General features: G+C 48.6%; 1 protein-coding gene across 2 annotated transcripts in view, besides 2 other annotated features; it reads right to left on the reverse strand.

Annotated features, from left to right (window-relative positions):
• The window catches only part of SCAMP2 (secretory carrier membrane protein 2), a 29,636-nt gene extending 22,782 nt beyond the window's left edge, over nucleotides 1-6,854 (reverse strand). For both annotated transcript variants that reach the window (NM_005697.5, NM_001320778.2), the window contains exon 1: nucleotides 6,688-6,854. In NM_005697.5, the coding sequence (NP_005688.2) occupies nucleotides 6,688-6,744 (57 nt within the window). In that variant the 5' untranslated portion in view covers nucleotides 6,745-6,854. The remainder of the gene's footprint in view (nucleotides 1-6,687) is intronic.
• Nucleotides 3,026-3,536: an enhancer, noted in NCBI's record as "H3K27ac-H3K4me1 hESC enhancer chr15:75161878-75162388 (GRCh37/hg19 assembly coordinates)". NCBI's record gives its function as "activates a minimal SCP1, AML or CMV promoter by ChIP-STARR-seq in primed H9 embryonic stem cells {active_cell/tissue: H9 hESC(primed)}" and the evidence as "EXISTENCE:reporter gene assay evidence [ECO:0000049][PMID:30033119]".
• Nucleotides 4,052-5,037: an enhancer, noted in NCBI's record as "NANOG-H3K27ac-H3K4me1 hESC enhancer chr15:75162904-75163889 (GRCh37/hg19 assembly coordinates)". NCBI's record gives its function as "activates a minimal SCP1, AML or CMV promoter by ChIP-STARR-seq in naive H9 embryonic stem cells {active_cell/tissue: H9 hESC(naive)}" and the evidence as "EXISTENCE:reporter gene assay evidence [ECO:0000049][PMID:30033119]".

The raw sequence follows: 19,105 nt of genomic DNA on the forward strand, positions 1-19,105 counted from the left end.
ACCAGCCTGACCAACGTGGTTGAAACCCCACCTCTACGAAAAATACAAAAATTAGCCAGGCATGCTAGTGCACGCCTGTAATCCCAGCTACTCGGGAGTGTGACTCTGTCTCAAAAAATAAATGAATAACCCTGTTTTCCCATCTGCCAGGCTTTCTGCTTTCAGTCCAAGCCCTCTGTGCCACAGGTCTCTGCCCTTCCTCCTGAGAGCCCTCCCAGCTCCTTTGGACACTGCCCTGATCCCACTTGTGATGTGCTGTCACTCTCAGTGAGCATTTATTTTCTTTCTTTTTTTTTTTTTTTTGAGATGGAGTCTCGCTCTGTCATGCAGGCTGGGGGGCAGTGGTGCAATCTCGGCTCGCTGCAACCTCCGCCTCCCGGGTTCAAGCGATTCTCCTGCCTCAGCCTCCCGAGTAGCTGGAACTACAGGTGCCCGCCATCACGCCTGGCTAATTTTTGCATTTTTAGTAGAGATGGGGTTTCACCATATTGGCCAGGCTGGTCTCGAACTCCTGACCTTGTGATCCGCCCGCCTTGGCCTCCCAAAGTGCTGGGATTACAGGCGTGAGCCACTGCGCCCCAGCCTCAGTGAGTATTTCTTAGCTCTCCTGCCAGAAGCCATTGATCACATACTGTGCTCATTTACCATGGTCTCCTGCACAGGCCTGCAGAGCAGCATGACCTCAGTGATGTGCACTAACGTGAACATCTCAAAGCAGCACTTGCTGGATGGGTCACAGTTTGCAAATGTGCACAGCACTCTTCTCTGAATGAACAGCAAGTACCCCTTGTTTGTCCTGGTTAAATATTACCATTTCTCTGAAATTAAGATTATCTTACCCCAAGTGTTTCCAAAGAAGACTTAACGGAAGAGTCAAAGTTCACCTATCTCTCTACCCAAGTTTTAACACCCAGCCTGGCTCCAGGTGCCAACCATAAAGGCAGGAATCCTATCTGGGCAGCTGTCTGTAGTCACAGTGAAGCTGTAAGAACCCTGCCATTTTCAAATTTCTTGAGACAATGCTCTGTTACACAGGAAAGTTCTACCAGGTCCATCTGGTTATTCCAAGAATTCCCAAAGTTATGGTCAAGCTGGGGCCAACCCTCTCTGGGAAGGTCCCACTGTCTGCACAGGGAAATTCAAGTAACTTTGTTCACACCCAAATCACGTTTCTGCCACCACTTCTTCCTTCCACAGGAGAGAAATATTTCAAATCCTTGGGAAGCAGCCACAACACTGAGATTATCTTTTAACTGCAAGGAGGCAATGTGTGAAAGTGATATTGTGTGACTTGGCAACTTACAAACACTGAAAGGTTTTCTCTGTTCAATGCCACCACCTATTCCACTTCCTCTCCTTGAGATCAATGCTGTCTGCCTGGGATAATCTGGCAGAAGTGCTGAGTGGGAAAGCAGCCCTAGGCACTTGCCTGGGTGGTCTGATTTTTAGTGGACTGCTGAAAAATGGACAGTACAATGACTCCCTTTAGCTTTCCACCCCTTCATCACCTGACAAGACTTAATGAGAAACTTTTGGGAGCAGACACCCTGGATCATTCCAAAGCAGAGACCGAAATACTCAGAGGGTACAAAGCAGCTGCCATAACCAACAGAGGAATTAGGGTGTGCCAGTGGAGGCTGTGAAATCAACAACACTTGGCTTGCAGTTTCCTGCTTCCTCCTAGGAGGTGGGCAAACCTCTGTGGCACACTCATATCTTAACTTCCCATTCACAGCTCTTTCTGTGCAGGAAGTTTTCTAATCATCCCGATCATAACCACACGCAAGGAAGAGGTCATAAAAGCACATGCCCACAGTGCGGGGTGGAAGCAGGCACTTAATAAAGAACCTTGGATGAGGAAGTCAACTAAATGGTGCACTGGGAGTTTCAAAGGATATAACGACTGAGCAGAAAACAGATTCCATGGTCGAATAACCTTGAGAAATGCTGGGTCAAATAAAGCTGAGCCAATGTCTTTTTGTAGGATTTCTCAGAGCCTTTAACAAACTAACAGGCCTTGTGAATCTTTATTTTGGTTTGTTTGTTTTTTGAGATAGAGTTTCACTCTATTACCCAGGCTGGAGTGCAAAGGCACTCCTCAGCTCACTGCAACCTCCACCTCCCAGGCTCAAGTGATCCCCCTGTGGCAGCCTCCCGAGTAGCTGAGCCCACAGGTGCATGCCACCACACCCAGCTAATTTTTTGTATTTGTTGTAGAGATGGGGTTTTGCCATGTTGCCTAGGCCATTCTCAAACTCATGACCTCAAGTGATCCACCTGCCTTGGCCTCCCAAATTGCTGAGATTATAGGTGTGAGCCACCATGCCTGGCCAAGCCTTGTGAATCTTTGAAAAAACAAACAGGCTGGGCACAGTGGCTCACGCCTGTAATCCTAGCACTTTGGGAGGCTGAGGCGGGTGGATCACCTGAGGTCTGGAGTTCGTGACCAGCCTGGCCAACATGGTAAAACCCTGTCTCTAGTAAAAATACAGAAATTCTGAGCGTGGTGGTGGGTGCCTGTAATCCTACCTACTCAGGAGGCTGAGGCAGGAGAATCGCTTGAACCCAGGAGGTGGAGACTGCAGTGAGCCAAGATCGCACCATTGCACTCTAGCCTGGGCAAAAGAGCGAAACACCATCTCAAAAAACATAAACAAAGAAACAAAAACGAAATAGGTAGCAATTCCCAAACCTATTTGACCACAGAACCATGAGCACCTTTCAGGACTGGCATTACTCAGAATATATATTGCTTTAAAGAACTGTCTTAAAAAGCCCAAGAATTGTTCTCCAGTGGAAAAAAAAAACCAATAATAAAAAATAAAAAAATTAAAGAACAAAAGCACAAGATCTGTATTATTCCATCCCCTCACACTGGAGAAAAAATGTAGCTTAGCTAATACTAATTTGTTACTTTCACCACTCCCAGTACTCTCAAGAATGGTGACAACTGTGATGATGTTACATTCCATTCTTTCCTTAGCCAGCCTAAAATAGCCCCAGTGCAGTTTAACACCAATGTCTGAGCTTCAAAACCTTTAAAACAGCCCTGTCCTGGGAATGAGACCCAGGTCAGCACCTTCCTGCTGCTAAACAACTGATGACTCTGGCACATACCATCCTCATTGAGGTCTTGGTTTCCTCATCTCTAAACTGAAGAGGTTAGAATAGAGTTCTAAGAATGTTCTCAGCTCTTAACAGTCAACTATGAGCTCTGAACACTAGGTATATTTTTGCAATCCACCATTTCTGTCACTGCATGACGGAAATAAAAACGACTGTTCTGGAGTGTGACTAGGTGTGACAGTTTCTGAGTCTATCGCCTCTCCACCTGCTCTCTCCTGAGCTTGGTGCCAACACCCTGAGTAAATGAAGCTGGGCTCACACCCAGGCACCCAAGGGCTACACCTCCCAACGTCCTAGCCCTGGCAGTCAAGGAAGCAGACATCACCATCTCAAGGAAAAGGTGGGCAGCTCTGACCAGGAGAAGGTTCAGAGGCCTCACATCCAAAGCTGTTTCTCCCCACACCACTGTGTGCCAAGAGGAAAAGCCCAGCCCAGGATGAGGAGGAGCAAATCGCAGCCAGCCAGCCAGCTTTCTTCTTCCCACCCAGGACTCCCCACCAGATGTGGCTGGTTGACAGGACCACAGCTGCTTCCTGTCATGCCATATCCTGGGGCTTCCTGATGGACAGACTGTCTCGCTAGAATGCAGAAGTTACTTCTACCACAGTTTGCACAGTCATTTTTGGAGCCAGAGATGAGGTTTAAGACTTTCAAGCAGCTATTAATACAGGGTAGAACTATCTTGCCCTCTGCTAACACTGGAGCAAAGCTCTCTGCATTTTTAGACAACTGACTTCCTCTCTGTCAGACAGCAGCAGACTTTTTATTTCTGATTCTGAGAGGACAAAAAAACACACATAAAAAATGGAAAATCATCACATACAACATACACCATAAGGCTACAAGATCCTACTAAAACCCAAACCCCAGTATTATACAGCAGTTTTGTAATTAAAGTCTGTTACCAGAAGACATTGGCAGAAAAAAAAAATGCAAATCTTCTTTCTTTACTCAATAGAGATGACTGTTTGCCTTACATAAGAGACAAGGTCCTTGCAAACGCTCTGTCAAGAAACATTAAGCTACGAGAGGAATGTTCAGAATTCCCTGATGTTCTAAGGAACAAGCTATCAGAATTTGCCCTGAGGGCTCCTGTTGGCTAAGACACCTTGAGACCAAGAAAGAAGCAAAACATTTTCACTCTCCTGACAGCGTATAATTATTTAGTTCAAGTCTCCTTTGATTTTGCTCTGACCCTTGAAGCGATTCAAAGTGGGAAAACTCATGCTGTGAATGACAGGAAGGACTCCTTCAAGGACTTCTCTGACACCTGCAGGAAACTTAAAAGCTGCCAATGACCAAAATAAAGGACAAGCAGGGTGAGTTAATGTGCCTGGTGACATCCTGACAGAGCAGAATATCAGGGCTCATAATTCACCAGTCAGCACAAACAAGCTTCCCTAGAACGGGTTTTGAGCAGACGTGAAACAAGAGGCATAGGAGCTCTGGAGGTAACAGTTCAGCCCCTCATGGTGGAAAAAGATCATCCCTGTGCTCTCAGCTGAAAGGCAGAAAGGTGTGGGCTTTAAGTAGGAAGACTGTCCTGTGGCTCATGCCTGTAATCATAGCACTTTGAGAGGCTGGGGCCAGAGGATTGCTTGAGACCAGGATTTCGAGACCAGCTTGGGCATCACAGCGAGACCCCTTCTCTACAAAAATTTTTTTTAAAAGGAGTCAGGCCCAGTGGCACATTCTTGTAGTCCCAGCTACTCAGGAGACTGAGGTGGGATTCAAATAATCATTTGAATCCTGGAGGTCAAGGCTGCCATGACCTCCACTGTGCTACAGCCTGGGCGACAGAGTGAGACCCTGCCTTAAAAAAGGAAGAAAGAGGGCTGGGCGCAGTGGTTCATGCCTGTAATCCCAGCACTTTGGGAGGCCGAGGCAGGTGGATCACCTGAGGTCGGGAGTTCGAGACCAGCCTGACCAACGTGGAGAAACCCCGTCTCTACTAAAAATACAAAATTAGCCGGTCGTGGTGGTGCATGCCTGTAATCCTAGCTACTCAGGAGGCTGAGGAAGGAGAATTGCTTGAACCCAGGAGGCTGAGGTTGCAGTGAGCCGAGATCGCGCCACTGCACTCCAGCCTGGGCAACAAGAGCAAAACTCTGTCTCAAAAAAAAGAGGCCAGGTGTGGTGGCTCACCCCTGTAATCCCAGCACTTTGGGAGGCTAAGGTGGGTGGATCACTTCAGGCCAGGAGTTTGAGACCAGTCTGGCCAATAAGGTGAAACCCCGTCTCTACTAAAAATACAAAAATTAGCCGGGTGTGGTGGTGCACACCTGTAATCCCAGTTTCTCGGGAGGCTGAAGCACGAGAATCACTTGAACCCAGGAGGCTGAGGCTGCAGTGAGCCGAGATCGCGCTACTGCACTCCAGCCTGGGCGACAGAGCAAGAATTGTCTCAAAAAACAAAACAAAACAAAACAAAAAAAAAGGAAAAGAAAGAAAGCAGGAAGATTGTTTCTTCCTTGATTGCTGTTCAAAAGGTCAGGCCAGGCGTGGTGGCTCACACCTGTAATCCCAGCACTTTGGAAGGCCGAGGCGGATGGATCACCTGAGGTCAGGAGTTTGAGACCAGCCTGGCCAACACGGTGAAACCCCGTCTCTACTAAAAGTATGAAAATTAGCTGGGTGTGGTGGCATACGCCTGTAGTCCCAGCTACTCAGGAGGCTGAAGCAGGAGAATTGCTTGAACTCGGGAGGCAGAGGTTGCAGTGAGCGGAAATCGTGCCAATGCACTCCAGCCTGGGCGACAAAGCGAGACTCCGTCTCAAAAAAAAAAAAAAAAGTCAGGCCAGCTCACACGTCAGTGCATCTCAACTATGTTGCCACCACACACAGTTCCATCAGACAAACGTTCCCTGTGGGTCCAGAATTTTTCACAGTCCCCCGCACCTCTCCTCTCTCCCTAACCCGGGCTCTCCTATCTGGTCAAAACCCACTCCAAACTAGACCCATGGCCAAAATGTGGAATTCTTATCAAGGCCATTTTTCAACTTGGGCTACCTTCCCGCCCTCTCCCATCTTTCTTTCCCTGACAAATCTCAGGGGCTCTCCTGTACTTTATACACTAGTTTGGCTGGTGGTGGAGCGGTGGCAGGTGTCCTGGGCTTTTCCCACATTTTTCCCCTCCACCAGAGGCTTCACCACCTCCTCATATGTTGCTGTCACCCCCTCTTCTAAAGTGACTCAAGACAGGTGTCTATCCAAGAATGAGGGAATGCGATAGCCACATTTCGCTTCTCCCTGACGCTAGGAGACTTCCGGAAGGGTCCGACCGTACCTGCTCCAGTCCCCTTCCCTAGCACAGCCCAGCCTCCGGGTGCTAGAAGACCCCACTGTCTCCAACACTTCAGCGCCCCGCCTCCTCTGCAGTTCCACCTGCTGCTAGTCGCGCCCCTCACGCGTTACGATAGGCCAGACCTCAAAGCCCGCTCTCCCATTGGGCAGATGACCCGTCCCTCCTACGCCACGTCTCCCGGCTCTAGCGAGAGGCCCGGGCGGCGGCCGTGGGCCCTAGGGAAATCTGAGAGCTGGATGGCGGGAGAGGGGCTCTACCTGGAAGGGGTTTACATCCACTGGGTCCGCGAAGGGGTTGGTGTCGAAAGCCGACATGGTGATCGGGGGCCAGCGGGCGAACTCCGCGAACGCTGCTGCCTCCGGGCACCCAGACCCAGCGGCGCTTCGTGTAGACCCTCCACTTCCGGGAGCGAGGCAGCGGTTCTGGCGCAGGCGCGATGCCCTCCCCCGAGGGCGTGGCCCTATGACGGCACCGGGGTCGCTCCGCCCCCCCCCCCCCCCCCCCCGCCCAGCCCACAATAGTGCGGTGGGTGGGCATTCGGCTTCCGTCCACATCTTCGCTCTGCTGGGGATTCAGGGGTCTTGGCTGCGCGGAGCGTCTACGGAGCCAGAGGCGTGGCCGGAGTCCTTCCCAACTGCCTATCAATCTGACACCTTCCAATTTTATGTTTCTAAAGCAAACTCTCAAAAGTGGGACAGGAAACAGCCCCTTCACTTCTCTGTAGACCAAGTTTGGGAAGAAGTCCAAACTGATCCCTGGGCAAAGGACAGGGGTGACAGGTGAGGCCAGAGGCCTTGGGAGAACTAGGAAAGCGCTTCTTCTGCAGAACGTGCTCGGGGAAAGAGAAGTGCCAGGACCATCCAGCAGTCCTCCACCCGAGCTGAGCCTGCTTCTTCTAGGGCTGCTCGCCCTCTGATGTCGTTTCATCGTTTTAGGGACGAGGGTTCCTGGGCCCATCAGCTTTGGGACCTGAGTTGGGACTTGAACCTGGACATCAAACATTTATGAAGTGACTCACGGAATTCAGCAACACAGCCTCAATCATGGGGGAGGTGGCTGCTTCACTCTCCACAGCTCCGCTTTCCCCCGCCCCCGCCCCCCACAGGGTCTCACTGTCGCCCAGGCTGGAGTGCAGTGGTGCAATCATGGCTCACTGCAGCCTCGAGCTCCTGGGCTCAAGCAATCCTCCCACCTCAGCCTCCTGAGTAGCTGGGACTACAGCTGGTCACCACCATACCCAGCTAATTTATGGATTTTTTGTAGAGATGGGGATCTCACTATATTGCCCAGGCTCGTCTCAAACACCTGGGCTGAAGTGATCCTCCCGCCTTGGCTTCCTAAAATGCTAGGATTATACTCATGAACCACTGTCTGGCCAAATCCACCTTATTTATTTGGATCTGTCTGGTATTATTCATCTCTGCTGTCACCGAATCCCAGCCACTGTCATTTTTACCCTGAACTAATACAGTGCTGTTAATTGGTCTATTGTTCTTCATGTTGTAATCAAAGATATGTTTAAAGGGGGCAAAATTATCACAGAACTTTGTTAAAATTTTTCAATTAATTTCCATAAAGGGCTGGGTGCGTGGCTTATGCCTGTAATCCCAGTACTTTGGGAGGCAGAGGTAGGAGGATCACTTGAAGCCAGGAGTTCGAGACCAGCCTAGGCAACATACCAGGACCCTGGCTCTACAAAAAAAAAAAAAAAAAAAAAAAAATATATATATATATATATATATATATATATATACATATACATATCTCACACACACACGTAATTAGCTAGGCATGGTGGCCTGTGCCTGTACTCCCAGCTACTTGGGAGGCTGAGGCAGGAGGACTGTTTGAGCTCAGGAGGTCAAAGCTGCAGTGAGCCATCTTTGCACCACTACACTCCAGCTGAGTGACAGAGTGAGACCCTGTCTCAGTTAAAAAAAAAAAAAAAAAAATCAGGCCAGGCAAGGTGGCTCATGCCTGTAGTCGCAGCACTTTGGGAAGCCAAGGCAGGCAGATCACCTGAGGTCAAGAGTTCGAGACCAGCCTGGCCAATATGGTGAAACCTCATCTCTACTAAAAATACAAAATTAGCTGGGTGTGGTGGTGCACACCTGTAATCCCAGCTACTTGGGAGGCTGAGGCAGGAGAATCGTTTGAACCTGGGAGGCGGAGGTTGCAGTGAGCTAAGATTGCAACATTGCACTCCAGCCTGGGCAAAAAGAGTGAAACTCTGTCTCAAAAAAAAAAAAAAAAAATCATAAAGGCCCAAATTCTTAGTTTGTCTTCAAGGTCCTAAAGGATCTGCCCCTACGTTTCTCCCCTTCTGACCCCTTCTAGCCCCCAACCCCCACCCACTGTTCCAGCCATGCAAGTTCTTTTCAGTTGCTCAAACCTTCCTTGTGCCCTCCTGTCTCAGGGCCTTTACACATGTGTTCCTTCTACCTGGTATGCACTTAACCCATGCCCCACTATCATCCTCTGGTTAACCTCTCCTTACCCTTTAAATGCAAGTTCAGATGCCTTTCTTCAGGAGTAGCTTCCCTTCACTCTCTTGGTTACATCATCACCTCATACCCAACATAAGCTCTCCTATTGCCCTGTACTTTTCCTTCACAATACCCATTGCAGATTGTAATTAATACTAGTATAGGTGGTTCTTTATGCCTGTATCCTCCGCTAGACTGAAAGCTCCATGAGGGTAGGGCTGAGGTCTGTTTTGCTCACTGTTGTGTTTCTGTCACTAACATAGTATAAAGCACATGATACACATTTATTAATTTATTTTTTGTGGGTTTGGGGTTTTTTTTTTTTCCAGACAAAGTCTCACTCTGTCACCCAGGGTGGAGTACAGTGGCATGATCTCAGCTCAGTGCAATCTCCGCCTTCCAGGTCCAAGAGATTCTGCTGCTTTAGCCTCCCAAGTAGCTGGGATTACAGGCACTCACCACCACACCCAGTTAATTTTTTTTTTTTTTTTTTTGTAATTTTAATAGAGACTGGGTTTCACCATCTTGGCCAGGCTGGTCTTGAACTCCTGATTTCAAATGATCTGCTCGCCTCGGCCTCCCAAAGTGCTGGGATTACAGGCGTGAGCCACTGTGCCCAGCCCACATGCATCATACACATTTAGTAACTATTTTACTGTTTCCCTGCATCCATTTATTTTGTTTGTTTATTTAGAAACAGGGTGTTACTTTGTTGCCCAAGCTGGTGTTGAACTCCTGGCTTCAATTGATCCTGCCACTTCCGCCTCCCAAAGTACTGGGCCTACAGGTACACACCACTGCGCCTGGTCATCTGTTTCTTTCACCTTCCTCTCCCATCTAAATCCTGACTATCCTTTAGGGTTTAGCTCAGCTTTACTTCGGGAAATATCTGCACACAAGTGGGAGGATGGGGAAGGATCCATTTTGTATCCCCTTAGAAATTGCCTGTCCCCAAGCCTCTATGGCCACCCCTCAAGGGCAGCAGACAGATCTTTGCTGTCTGCTCTCTGCAGCCTCAGAGGAGAACAGTCCACACCCCACAAGGCAGTCCTGCCTGCTCTGGGTCTGCTGCAGCCAAGTACAATGCTGGGCTGGTGAAGAAAGAATGAAACTTAATTACAACCAATGTGGTGGCTGCCCATCTATCTGTCTAATTCCCTACAAGAGAGACATCATTCATTTATTCTACAAGAGAGGAGGTATAGAGAATGCAGCTCTTTGCTTTTAAACCAGTTATTTCACCTCTCCAAGACCCATTTTTCTCATCTTGATCTTGAAACCACCTTTGCAAAAATTATAACTGAGGAAATTATGACAGTGGGAGAGATTAGACCTAACCTACTCCATCTTGCTTCTGACCTTTAAGTGGTCCTTGTTCATTCCTGGGTGTAGGCTGAACTAACCTTGGGAAGGAATTTATAGTTTAACTCTGAAACAAAATTGATTATAGCCCTTTTCCAAAAAAAAAAAAAAAAAAAAATCCCTTCTTGCCTGGGGACCAGTCTGCCTTTCTGGACTAATAAATTAGCTACAAGATTAGAAACTATGGTTTAGGGACCATGCAGCCTTCAGCTGTGAGTCTGAACCTCCCCAGATTGCTCCTGAGAATAACATCACTATTGTAAAACCTAAGATCAGTGCTTGAGATATTTTGCAGACCTTGCACTTGATGGATCTGCTGACACCACCTCCAACAGTAATGTAGCTCAGACAGTTCTGCCATCCCACTCAGGAACAGAAGACAGCAAGAAAAACTCACTTCGACCCCCTATGATTCCATCTCCAACCCGACCAATCAGCACTCCCTACTTGCCTAGCCCCTACCAGCCAAATTATCTTTTTTTTTCTCTCTTTTTTTCTTTTTGAGACGGAGTCTTGCTCTGTCACCAGGCTAGAGTGCTGTGGCACAATCTCGGGTCACTGCAACCTCCAACTCCCCGGTTCAAGGGATTCTCCTGCCTCTGCCTCCCAAGTAGCTGGGATTACAGGCATGCGACACCATGCCCGGCTAATTTTTGTATTTTTAGTAGAGATGGGGTTTCACTATGTTGGCCAGGATGGTCTCGATCTCCTGACCTCGTGATCTGCCCGCCTCGGCCTCCCAAAGTGCTGGGATTACAGGCATGAGCCACCACACCCGGCCAAATTATCTTTAAAAACTCTGATCCCAGAGGCTGGGCGCAGTGGCTCACACCTGTAATCCCAGCACTTTCGGAGGCCAAGGCAGGTGGATCATAAGGTCAGGAGTTCAAGACCAGCCCGGCCAAGATGGTGAAGCCTCATCTCTACTAAAAAATACAAAAAAAATTGCTGAGCATGGTGGCAGTCGCCTGTAATCCCAGCTACTCGGGAGGCTGAGGCAGATAATTGCTTGAACCCGGGAGGTGGAGGTTGCAGTGAGCTGAGATCGTGCCATTGCACTCCAGCACAGGAGACAGAGCAAGACTCCATCTAAAATAAATAAATAAATAGGCCGGGCGCGGTGGCTCACGCCTGTAATCCCAGCACTTTGAGAGGCCTAGGCGGGCAGATTATGAGGTCAGGAATTCAAGACCAGCCTGGCTAACATAGTGAAACCCTGTCTATATACTAAAAATACAAAAAATAAGCTGGGCATGGTGGCGGGGCGCCTGTAATCCCACCTACTCCGGAGGCTGAGGCAGGAGAATCGATTGAACCCGGGAGGCAGAGGTTGCAGTAAGCCGAGATCACACCATTGCACTCTAGCCCAGGCAACAGTGTAAGACTCTGTCTCAAAAATAAACAAACAAATAAATTAAAATAAAAACTCTGATCCCTGAATGCTCAGGACGACTGATTTGGGTAATAATAAAACTCCGGTTTTCTGCACAGCTGGCGCTGCATGAATTTACTCTTTCTCCATTGCAATTCCCCTGTCTTGATAAATTGGCTCTGTCTAGGCAGCAGGCAAGGTGAAGCTGTTAGGTGGTTACAATCTCACAGGGTTGTCTTGAGAGTTGATGAAAAAAGCAGTGTTTTTTTCTCCCTCACAACTACAGACTCCCTCAACAGTCATTCAACACAATACTTCTGACACCTGACGTGTGTGGGTTGTTTCTCCACACATCAAGCAATTCTGCAGCAGACACTAACTGGGTGTCCTTCAATTTAATTTAATTCCAACACTTTCTACCTGGAGATAGTGTCAGATTGTAACTGCAGTAAGTTCATTGCCAGATGTGCAAATCAATACGCTGAGGCACCGGGTTGCAGCAAAGAAAAAGGTTTAATTGTAGGGCGACCTAAAGAGGGGATGGGAGAAAACCCCAAATCTATTTCCCCAAGGTGTTTAGGGTTAGGGATCTTTTTTTTTTTTTTTTAGATGGAGTCTCACTCTGTTGCCCAGGGGCGTGATCTCGACTCACTGCAACCTCTGCCTCCCTCAGGTTCAAGCCATTCTCCTGCCTCAGCCTCCTGAGTAGCTGGGATTACAGGCGCCTGCCACCATGCCTGGCTACCTTTTGTACTTTTAGCAGAGATGGGGTTTCATCATGATGGCCAGGCTGGTCTTGAACTCCTAACCTTAGGTGATCCGCCTGCCTCGGCCTCCCAAAGTGCTGGGATTATAGGCATGAGCCACCGTGCCCGGCCGGGTTAGGGATTTTAAAGGTTTTTTTTTTTTTTTTTTGAGACAGAGTCTCACATTGTCGCCTGGGCTGGAGTGCAGTGTCGCGATCTCAGCTCACTGCAACCTCTGCCTCCTGGCTTCGAGCGATTCTCCTGCCTCAGCCTCCCAAGTAGCTGGGATTATAGGCGCCCGCCACCAGGCCCAGCTAATTTTTTGTATTTTTAGTAGAGACGGGGTTTCACTATGTTGGCCAGGAGGCTGGTCTCAAACTCCTGACCTCGTGATCCGCCCGCCTCGGCCTCCCAAAGTGCTGGGATTATAGGTGTGAGCCACTGTGCCTGGCTTGGTTTGTTTTCTGTTTTTTTTGAGACAGGGTCTTTCTTGCTTTCTGGCCTAGGCTGAAGTGTAGTGAAGCAATCTGCAGCTTCAACCTCACAGGCTCAAGAGATCCTCCCACCTCAGACTCCCGAGTAGCTGGAACCACAAGAGAACGCCCACCATGCATGGCTAATTTTTGTATTTTTTGTAGAGATGGGGTTCTGCCATGTTGCCCAGGCTGGTCTCAAGCTCCTGGGCTCAAGCGTTCCACCTTCCCAAGGTGCGTGAGCCACTGTACATGGTCAGGAGTCTTTAAACTGTTTGGCATCACTTGTTCCCCCAGAATTAAGGATCTGAAAAACATCTTAAGCAATTCTTTTTTTTTTTTTTTTTTTTTTGAGACGCCCAGGCTGGAGTGCAGTGGCACGATCTCGGCTCACTGCAAGCTCCACCTCCCAGGTTCACGCCATTGTCCTGCCTCAGCCTCCCAAGTAGCTGGGACTACAGGTGCCCACCACCACACCCAGATAATTTTTTTGTATTTTTTAGTAGAGATGGGGTTTCACCGTATTAGCCAGGATGGTCTCCATCTCCTGACCTCGTGATCCACCCACCTCGGCCTCCCAAAGTGCTGGGATTACAGGCGTGAGCCACCGCGCCTGGCCCATCTTAAGCAATTCTTAAACAAAAGCTTTATGATTCTAATGTCAGACATCCTATTTATAGGAACAGTGTGGATGCAGATGGTCAGTATCTAGGGCTACGGTGACTTTTGGTTACAGGGAGGTGGCCCTAAGTGCAGACTGAGTAATGCTTAATTTTATTTTACTTTATTTATTTATTTATTTTGAAACGGAGTCTCGCTCTGTCACCAGGCTGGAGTGCAGTGGCGTGATCTCAGCTCACTGCAACCTCCGCCTCCCGGGTTCAAGTGATTCTCCTGCCACAGCCTCCCAAGTAGCTGGGACTACAGGCGTGCAACACCACGCCCAGCTAATTTTTATATTTTTATTAGAGACAGGGTTTCACCATGTTGGCCAGGATGGTCTCAATCTCTTGACCTCGTGATCTACCCACCTTGGTTTCCCAAAGTGCTGGGATTACAGGCATGAGCCACCGCACCCGGCCCAGCCTGATTAATGCTTAATTTTAAATATATTTGTCTTCTTTTTTTTTTTTTTTTTTGAGACGGAGTCTCACTCTATCGCCCCAGCTGGAGTGCAATGGTGCAATCGTGGCTCACTGCAACCTCCACTTCCCGGGTTCAAGCAATTCACCTGCCTCAGCCTCCCGAGTAGCTGGGATTACAGGCACACGCCACCACACCCAGCTAATTTTTGTATTTTTAGTAGAGATGGGGTTTCACCAGGTTGGCCAGGCTGGTCTCAAACTCCTGACCTCAGGTGATCCACCCACCTTGGCCTACCAAAGTGCTGGGATTACAGGCGTGAGCCACCATGCCCCGCCTAATGCAAATTCTTGGTAAACAACATAGGAACTGCCTCTTCTTTTCCTTTAAAAACCCATTAGTGGCTGGGTGCGGTGGCTCACGCCTGTAATCCCTGCACTTTGGGAGGCTGAGGTAGGTAGATCACCTGAGGTCAGGAGTTCGAGACCAGCCTGGCCAACATGGCAAAACCCTGTCTCTACTAAAAATACAAAAATTAGCTGGGCATGGTGGTGTGTGCCCGTAATCCTAGCTACTAGGGCGGCTGAGGCAGGAGGATCACTTGAACCTGGAAGGCGGAGGTTGCAGTGAGCCGAGATGGCACCACTGCACTCCAGCCTGGGCAACAGAGTAAGACTCTGTCTCAAAAAAAAAAAAAAAAAAACCATTAGTAACTGTTGCTAATTGGAGCATATATTAAGGGCAACTTGAATCCATGCTCCTGATCACAGGCCTCAAATTTGGCCCAAATAAACACTACTTATATTAAATTTGTCTAAGTTTCTTTTCTCTTTAGGTCAACAAAAGATATTACAAATGATACAGATAGCCAGATGGAAGAGATGCATGGAGCAAGACCCGTGGGAAGGGGTGTGGTGTTTCCATGCCCTTTCTGGAGGACCACCCTCCAGTGACCTCCAGGGACCATGTGTTCAGCTATCTGGAAGCTTTTTTTTTTTTTTGAGACGGAGTCTCATTCTAGGTTCAAGCGATTCTCCTGCCTCAGCTTCCCGAGTAGCTGGAATTGCAGGCACGCACCACCACACACAGCTACTTTTTTTTATATTTTAGTAGAGATGGGGTTTCACCATGTTGGCCAGGCTGCTCTCGAACTCCTGACCTCAAGCGATCCATCCGCCTCGGCCTCCCAAAGTGCTGGGATTACAGGGATTACAGGCGTGAGCTACCACGTCCAGCCTTGGTGGTTTTTTTTTTTTTTTTTTTTTTGAGACAGGGTCTGCTTTGTCGTCCAGGCTGGAGTGCAGTGGCAGGGACATGGCTCACTGCAGCCTCGACCTTCCTGGGCTCAGACTAAACTCCCACCTCAGCTTCCTGAGTAGCTAGGACTACAGGCATGTGCCACCATGTCCAGTTAATTGTTGTATTTTTTTGTAGAGCTGGGGTTTCGCCATGTAGCCCAGGCTGGTCTTGAACTCCTGAGCTCTAGTGATCTGCCCACCTCAGCCTCCCAAAGTGCTGAGATTACAGGCGTGAGTTACCGCACCTGGCTGACATATGCCCTTGAGTTGTCTTCCAGAAACCCAGACCCCTAGCAGATGGAAAACACCCACTGCTGTCACATAGACCCCAGATAAGGGGGAACTGAGGACTGAACTCTGGCCTTACCCAGTGTATAACTGAGGCGGGATTTTTCTCAGCCCCTTTGTCAGCCGGAGGTCTTCAGCTGGCGACACCCCTGCCCGGGCCTTGCTCAGGCCTGGGCTTGCTGCAGGAGATGCCCCGTCTACTCAGGTCACTGGGCCACGCCTGGCTTCCACTCCAATGCAGATCCCTGCACTCAGCCCCTGGAGGGAGGAGGTGTGAGCAAGTGTGGAGTCTGACCACCACACCAAGCACAGACACAGGAGTGGGTTCCATGCAGGGCTTGAGGCTGGACCAGGCATGTTGCACTGAGGGGAAAGTGGTGGTATATGAACAGGGATGCCTATGACCCCAAAGCCCCAGAGTGGGTATTACAGCATGCTAATAGCTCTTTTGGTCCCACTGTCTGCAGCCTGATGGACAGCGGCTGATGTGTTAACAGCTCTGTCAGTCCCATTGCCCCATTCCAGCCTATGGCTCCAGTACTGGCTTGGCCCTGCCACTCCTTCCCATCACATGAGGCACCTGACCTCAGCCAGTGGAAGGCAGAGGACCAGTGTTACAGCCTCTTTTTACCTACATTCGGTAGTCCTAAGTTCTTGTCCCGTGTCCAAGAAGAATGAGGTTATGTTGACGATTGAAGGGTGAGGGGGACAAAGAGCTTTACTGAGTGACAAAAGAGATCTCAGTGGAGAGGAGGATGTGAGGGCTTCCCCCACCTGAAGTTGGGTGGTCTCTTACTCGGTGTGGCTGTGTCTGCGGCTTTTATAGGCTCAGAATGGCAGAGTACATGCTGATTGGTTTGTGAGTATGCAAAAAAGGCTAAAACAAAGGCATCACTCAAAGGTGGGCACAACAGTGTAAGAAACCAATTAGGGAAGGGTAGGTATATGTAAAATAGGTGAGGGGTGGGGATCAATCAGAGGAAAGTGCACCAAAGTGGAAGAGAGGTTCTCACTCCAGTCCGTGGATTTACCCAGGACTTGTAGCTTGGCTTTCAGGCTTTAAACTGTCTTTGGTTTGAAGGTTGGTTTTCACCGGGGACCTGTCCCTGTCTGCCTAGGATTTGTCTGCCTCCTGCCACTCTCATAACAATAAAAGTTAGCTGCAGCCAGGTGCGGTGGCTTACACCTGTAATCCCAGCACTTTGGGAGGCTGAGGCCAGTGGACTCCTTGGGCTCAGGAATTTGAGACCAGCTGGGCTACATGGCAAAACCCCGTCTCTATAAAAAATACAAAAATTAGCCAAGTGTGGTGGTGTGTGCCTGCAGTGCCAGCTACTGAGGAGGCTAAGGTGGGAAGATCACTTGAGCTCAGGAGATGGAGGTTGCAGTGAGATGTGACCTTGCCACTGCACTCCATTCTGGGAGACTGTCTCAAAAAAAAATGCTGCTATTATAGCTTGAACCCTCAGCTGGGCACTGGCAGAAATGTGAAGCTGAATTAGACATATAGTCTAGAAGGGAAGAGAGAGAGGAAAGTGTATTGTCACTAGATAATAGAGTGTGATCAGTTCTACTAGAGATTGTTAACCTAAAAAGAAGAGGCTGAGTCACAAAATTAAAGTTACTTGATTCACAGTGAGACAGCTGTCCATAAGACTCATACCCAAGTAACCTTGGATATGAGCTCTGTTAGGCCTTTGTTTCAAGTTTTTTTTTTCTGTTTGTTTGTTTGTTTTTCCGAGATGGAGTCTTGCTCTGTCGCCCAGGCTGGAGTGCAGTGGTGCAATCTCAGCTCACTGAAACCTCTGCCTCCCGGGTTCAAGCGATTCTCCTGCCTCAGCTTCCTGAGTAGCTGGGACTCCAGGCATGCACCACCACGCCCAGCTAATTTTTTTGTATTTTTAGTAGAGACAGGGTTTCACCATGTTGGCCAGGCTAGTCTCACACTCCTGACCTCGTAATCCTCCTGCCTTGGCCTCCCAAAGTGCTGGGATTACAGGCATGAGCCACAGTGCCCAGCCACAAGTATGTTTTTAAAGGTAAAATGCAGGGACAAGGAGTGGGCTGATACAGTCTTTTGTCAGGAATTCTCATTGGTTTACTGAATTAGCACTGATTAGTGATTGGCCATACATTGTTAAGCTGTAGGGTATGGGTTACAGTGTCCATTGTGGTATTATTAGGTTAATTTATACCTAGTTGTGGCAATAGCAAGCAGTTTCAAGAGATAAATAAATAGCTCAAAAGGAAGGAAGTAGAATGTGGTTGCTGTCTCATTTTAATGTTGTTACTGAATTGACCTTGGATCTGCTTTCCTAGTGTGCAGAAAAAGCCAAACACTGGCCAGGCACAGTGGTTCATGCCTATACTCCCAGCACTTTGGGTGGCTGAGACAGGAGGATCACTTGAGGCCAGGAGTTCAAGACCAGCCTGGCCACATAGTGAGACCCAATCTCTTAAAAAATAAGCAGGCGTGATGGCATGTGCCTATAATCTCAGCTACTCAAGAGGCTGAGGTGGGAGGATCACTTGAGTCTTGGAAGTAGAGGCTGCAGTGAGCTGTAACTGTGCCACTGCACTCCAGCCTGGGCAACAGAGCAAGACTCTGTCTCAAAGTAAAAACAAACAAACAAACAAAAAAAAAATGCCAAACAGCGACACCAGGACTTGCAGCAAAAGAAAGTGAGATAATTTATTGCAGGTGCCAAGCAAGGAGAATCAGGCAGCTAATGCTTAAGACCTGAACTCCACAATGGCTTACAAGCAAGGGTTTTTAAAAGAAGGGGCACATTTCAGGAAAGCAAAATTGTAAATCGATACATAGAGGTTACACATTGGTTTGCCCCAAAAAAGTGGGATATCTTGAAGCAGGGGCTCATGTGAATTCAGAGATTCTTTGATTTGTAATTGGCTAAGGAAGCAAGGCTTTGTCTAAAAACTTGGTGTCAGCAGAAAGGAATGCTAAGGTTTGGCCCGTGGGTGTGACTCTCTCCACATCCCTCAGGAATAATTTGGAAAAAAGGATGGTGGTCAGAGTTCAGTCTTCAGTTCCCCCTTATCTGAGGTCAATGTGACAGCAGTGGGCATTTTCCATCTGGTAGGAGTCTGGAATCCCAGCACTTTGGGAGACTGAGGCAGGAGAACAGCTTGAGCCCAGGAGTTCAAGACCAGCCTAGGCAACATAGCAAGAACCTCCCGTCTTTACAAAAAATTTAAAAATTAGTCAGGTGTGGTGGCATGTGCTTATAGTCCTAGCTACTCAGGAGGTTGAGATGAAAGGATAGCTTGAGCCCAGGAGTTCGAGGCTGCAGTAGGCCTGGATGACACAGAGAGAACCCATCTCTGAAAAAAAAAACAAAACCAGAAGACATGTCAAGGTGTTATTTGTTTTTAGAGATGCAGTCTCACTCTGTCACCCAGGCTGGAGTGCAGTGGTACAATCACAGTTCACTGCAGCCTCGACTTTCCAGGCTCAAGCAATCCTCCCACCTCAGCCTCCAGAGTAGCTGGGACTACCGGCATGTGCTACCACCCTCAGCTAATTTTTAAAGTATGTTTAGAGACAGG

The sequence above is a fragment of the Homo sapiens genome, chromosome 15 (genome assembly GCF_000001405.40).
Source record: "Homo sapiens chromosome 15, GRCh38.p14 Primary Assembly".
Lineage (NCBI taxonomy): Eukaryota > Metazoa > Chordata > Mammalia > Primates > Hominidae > Homo > Homo sapiens.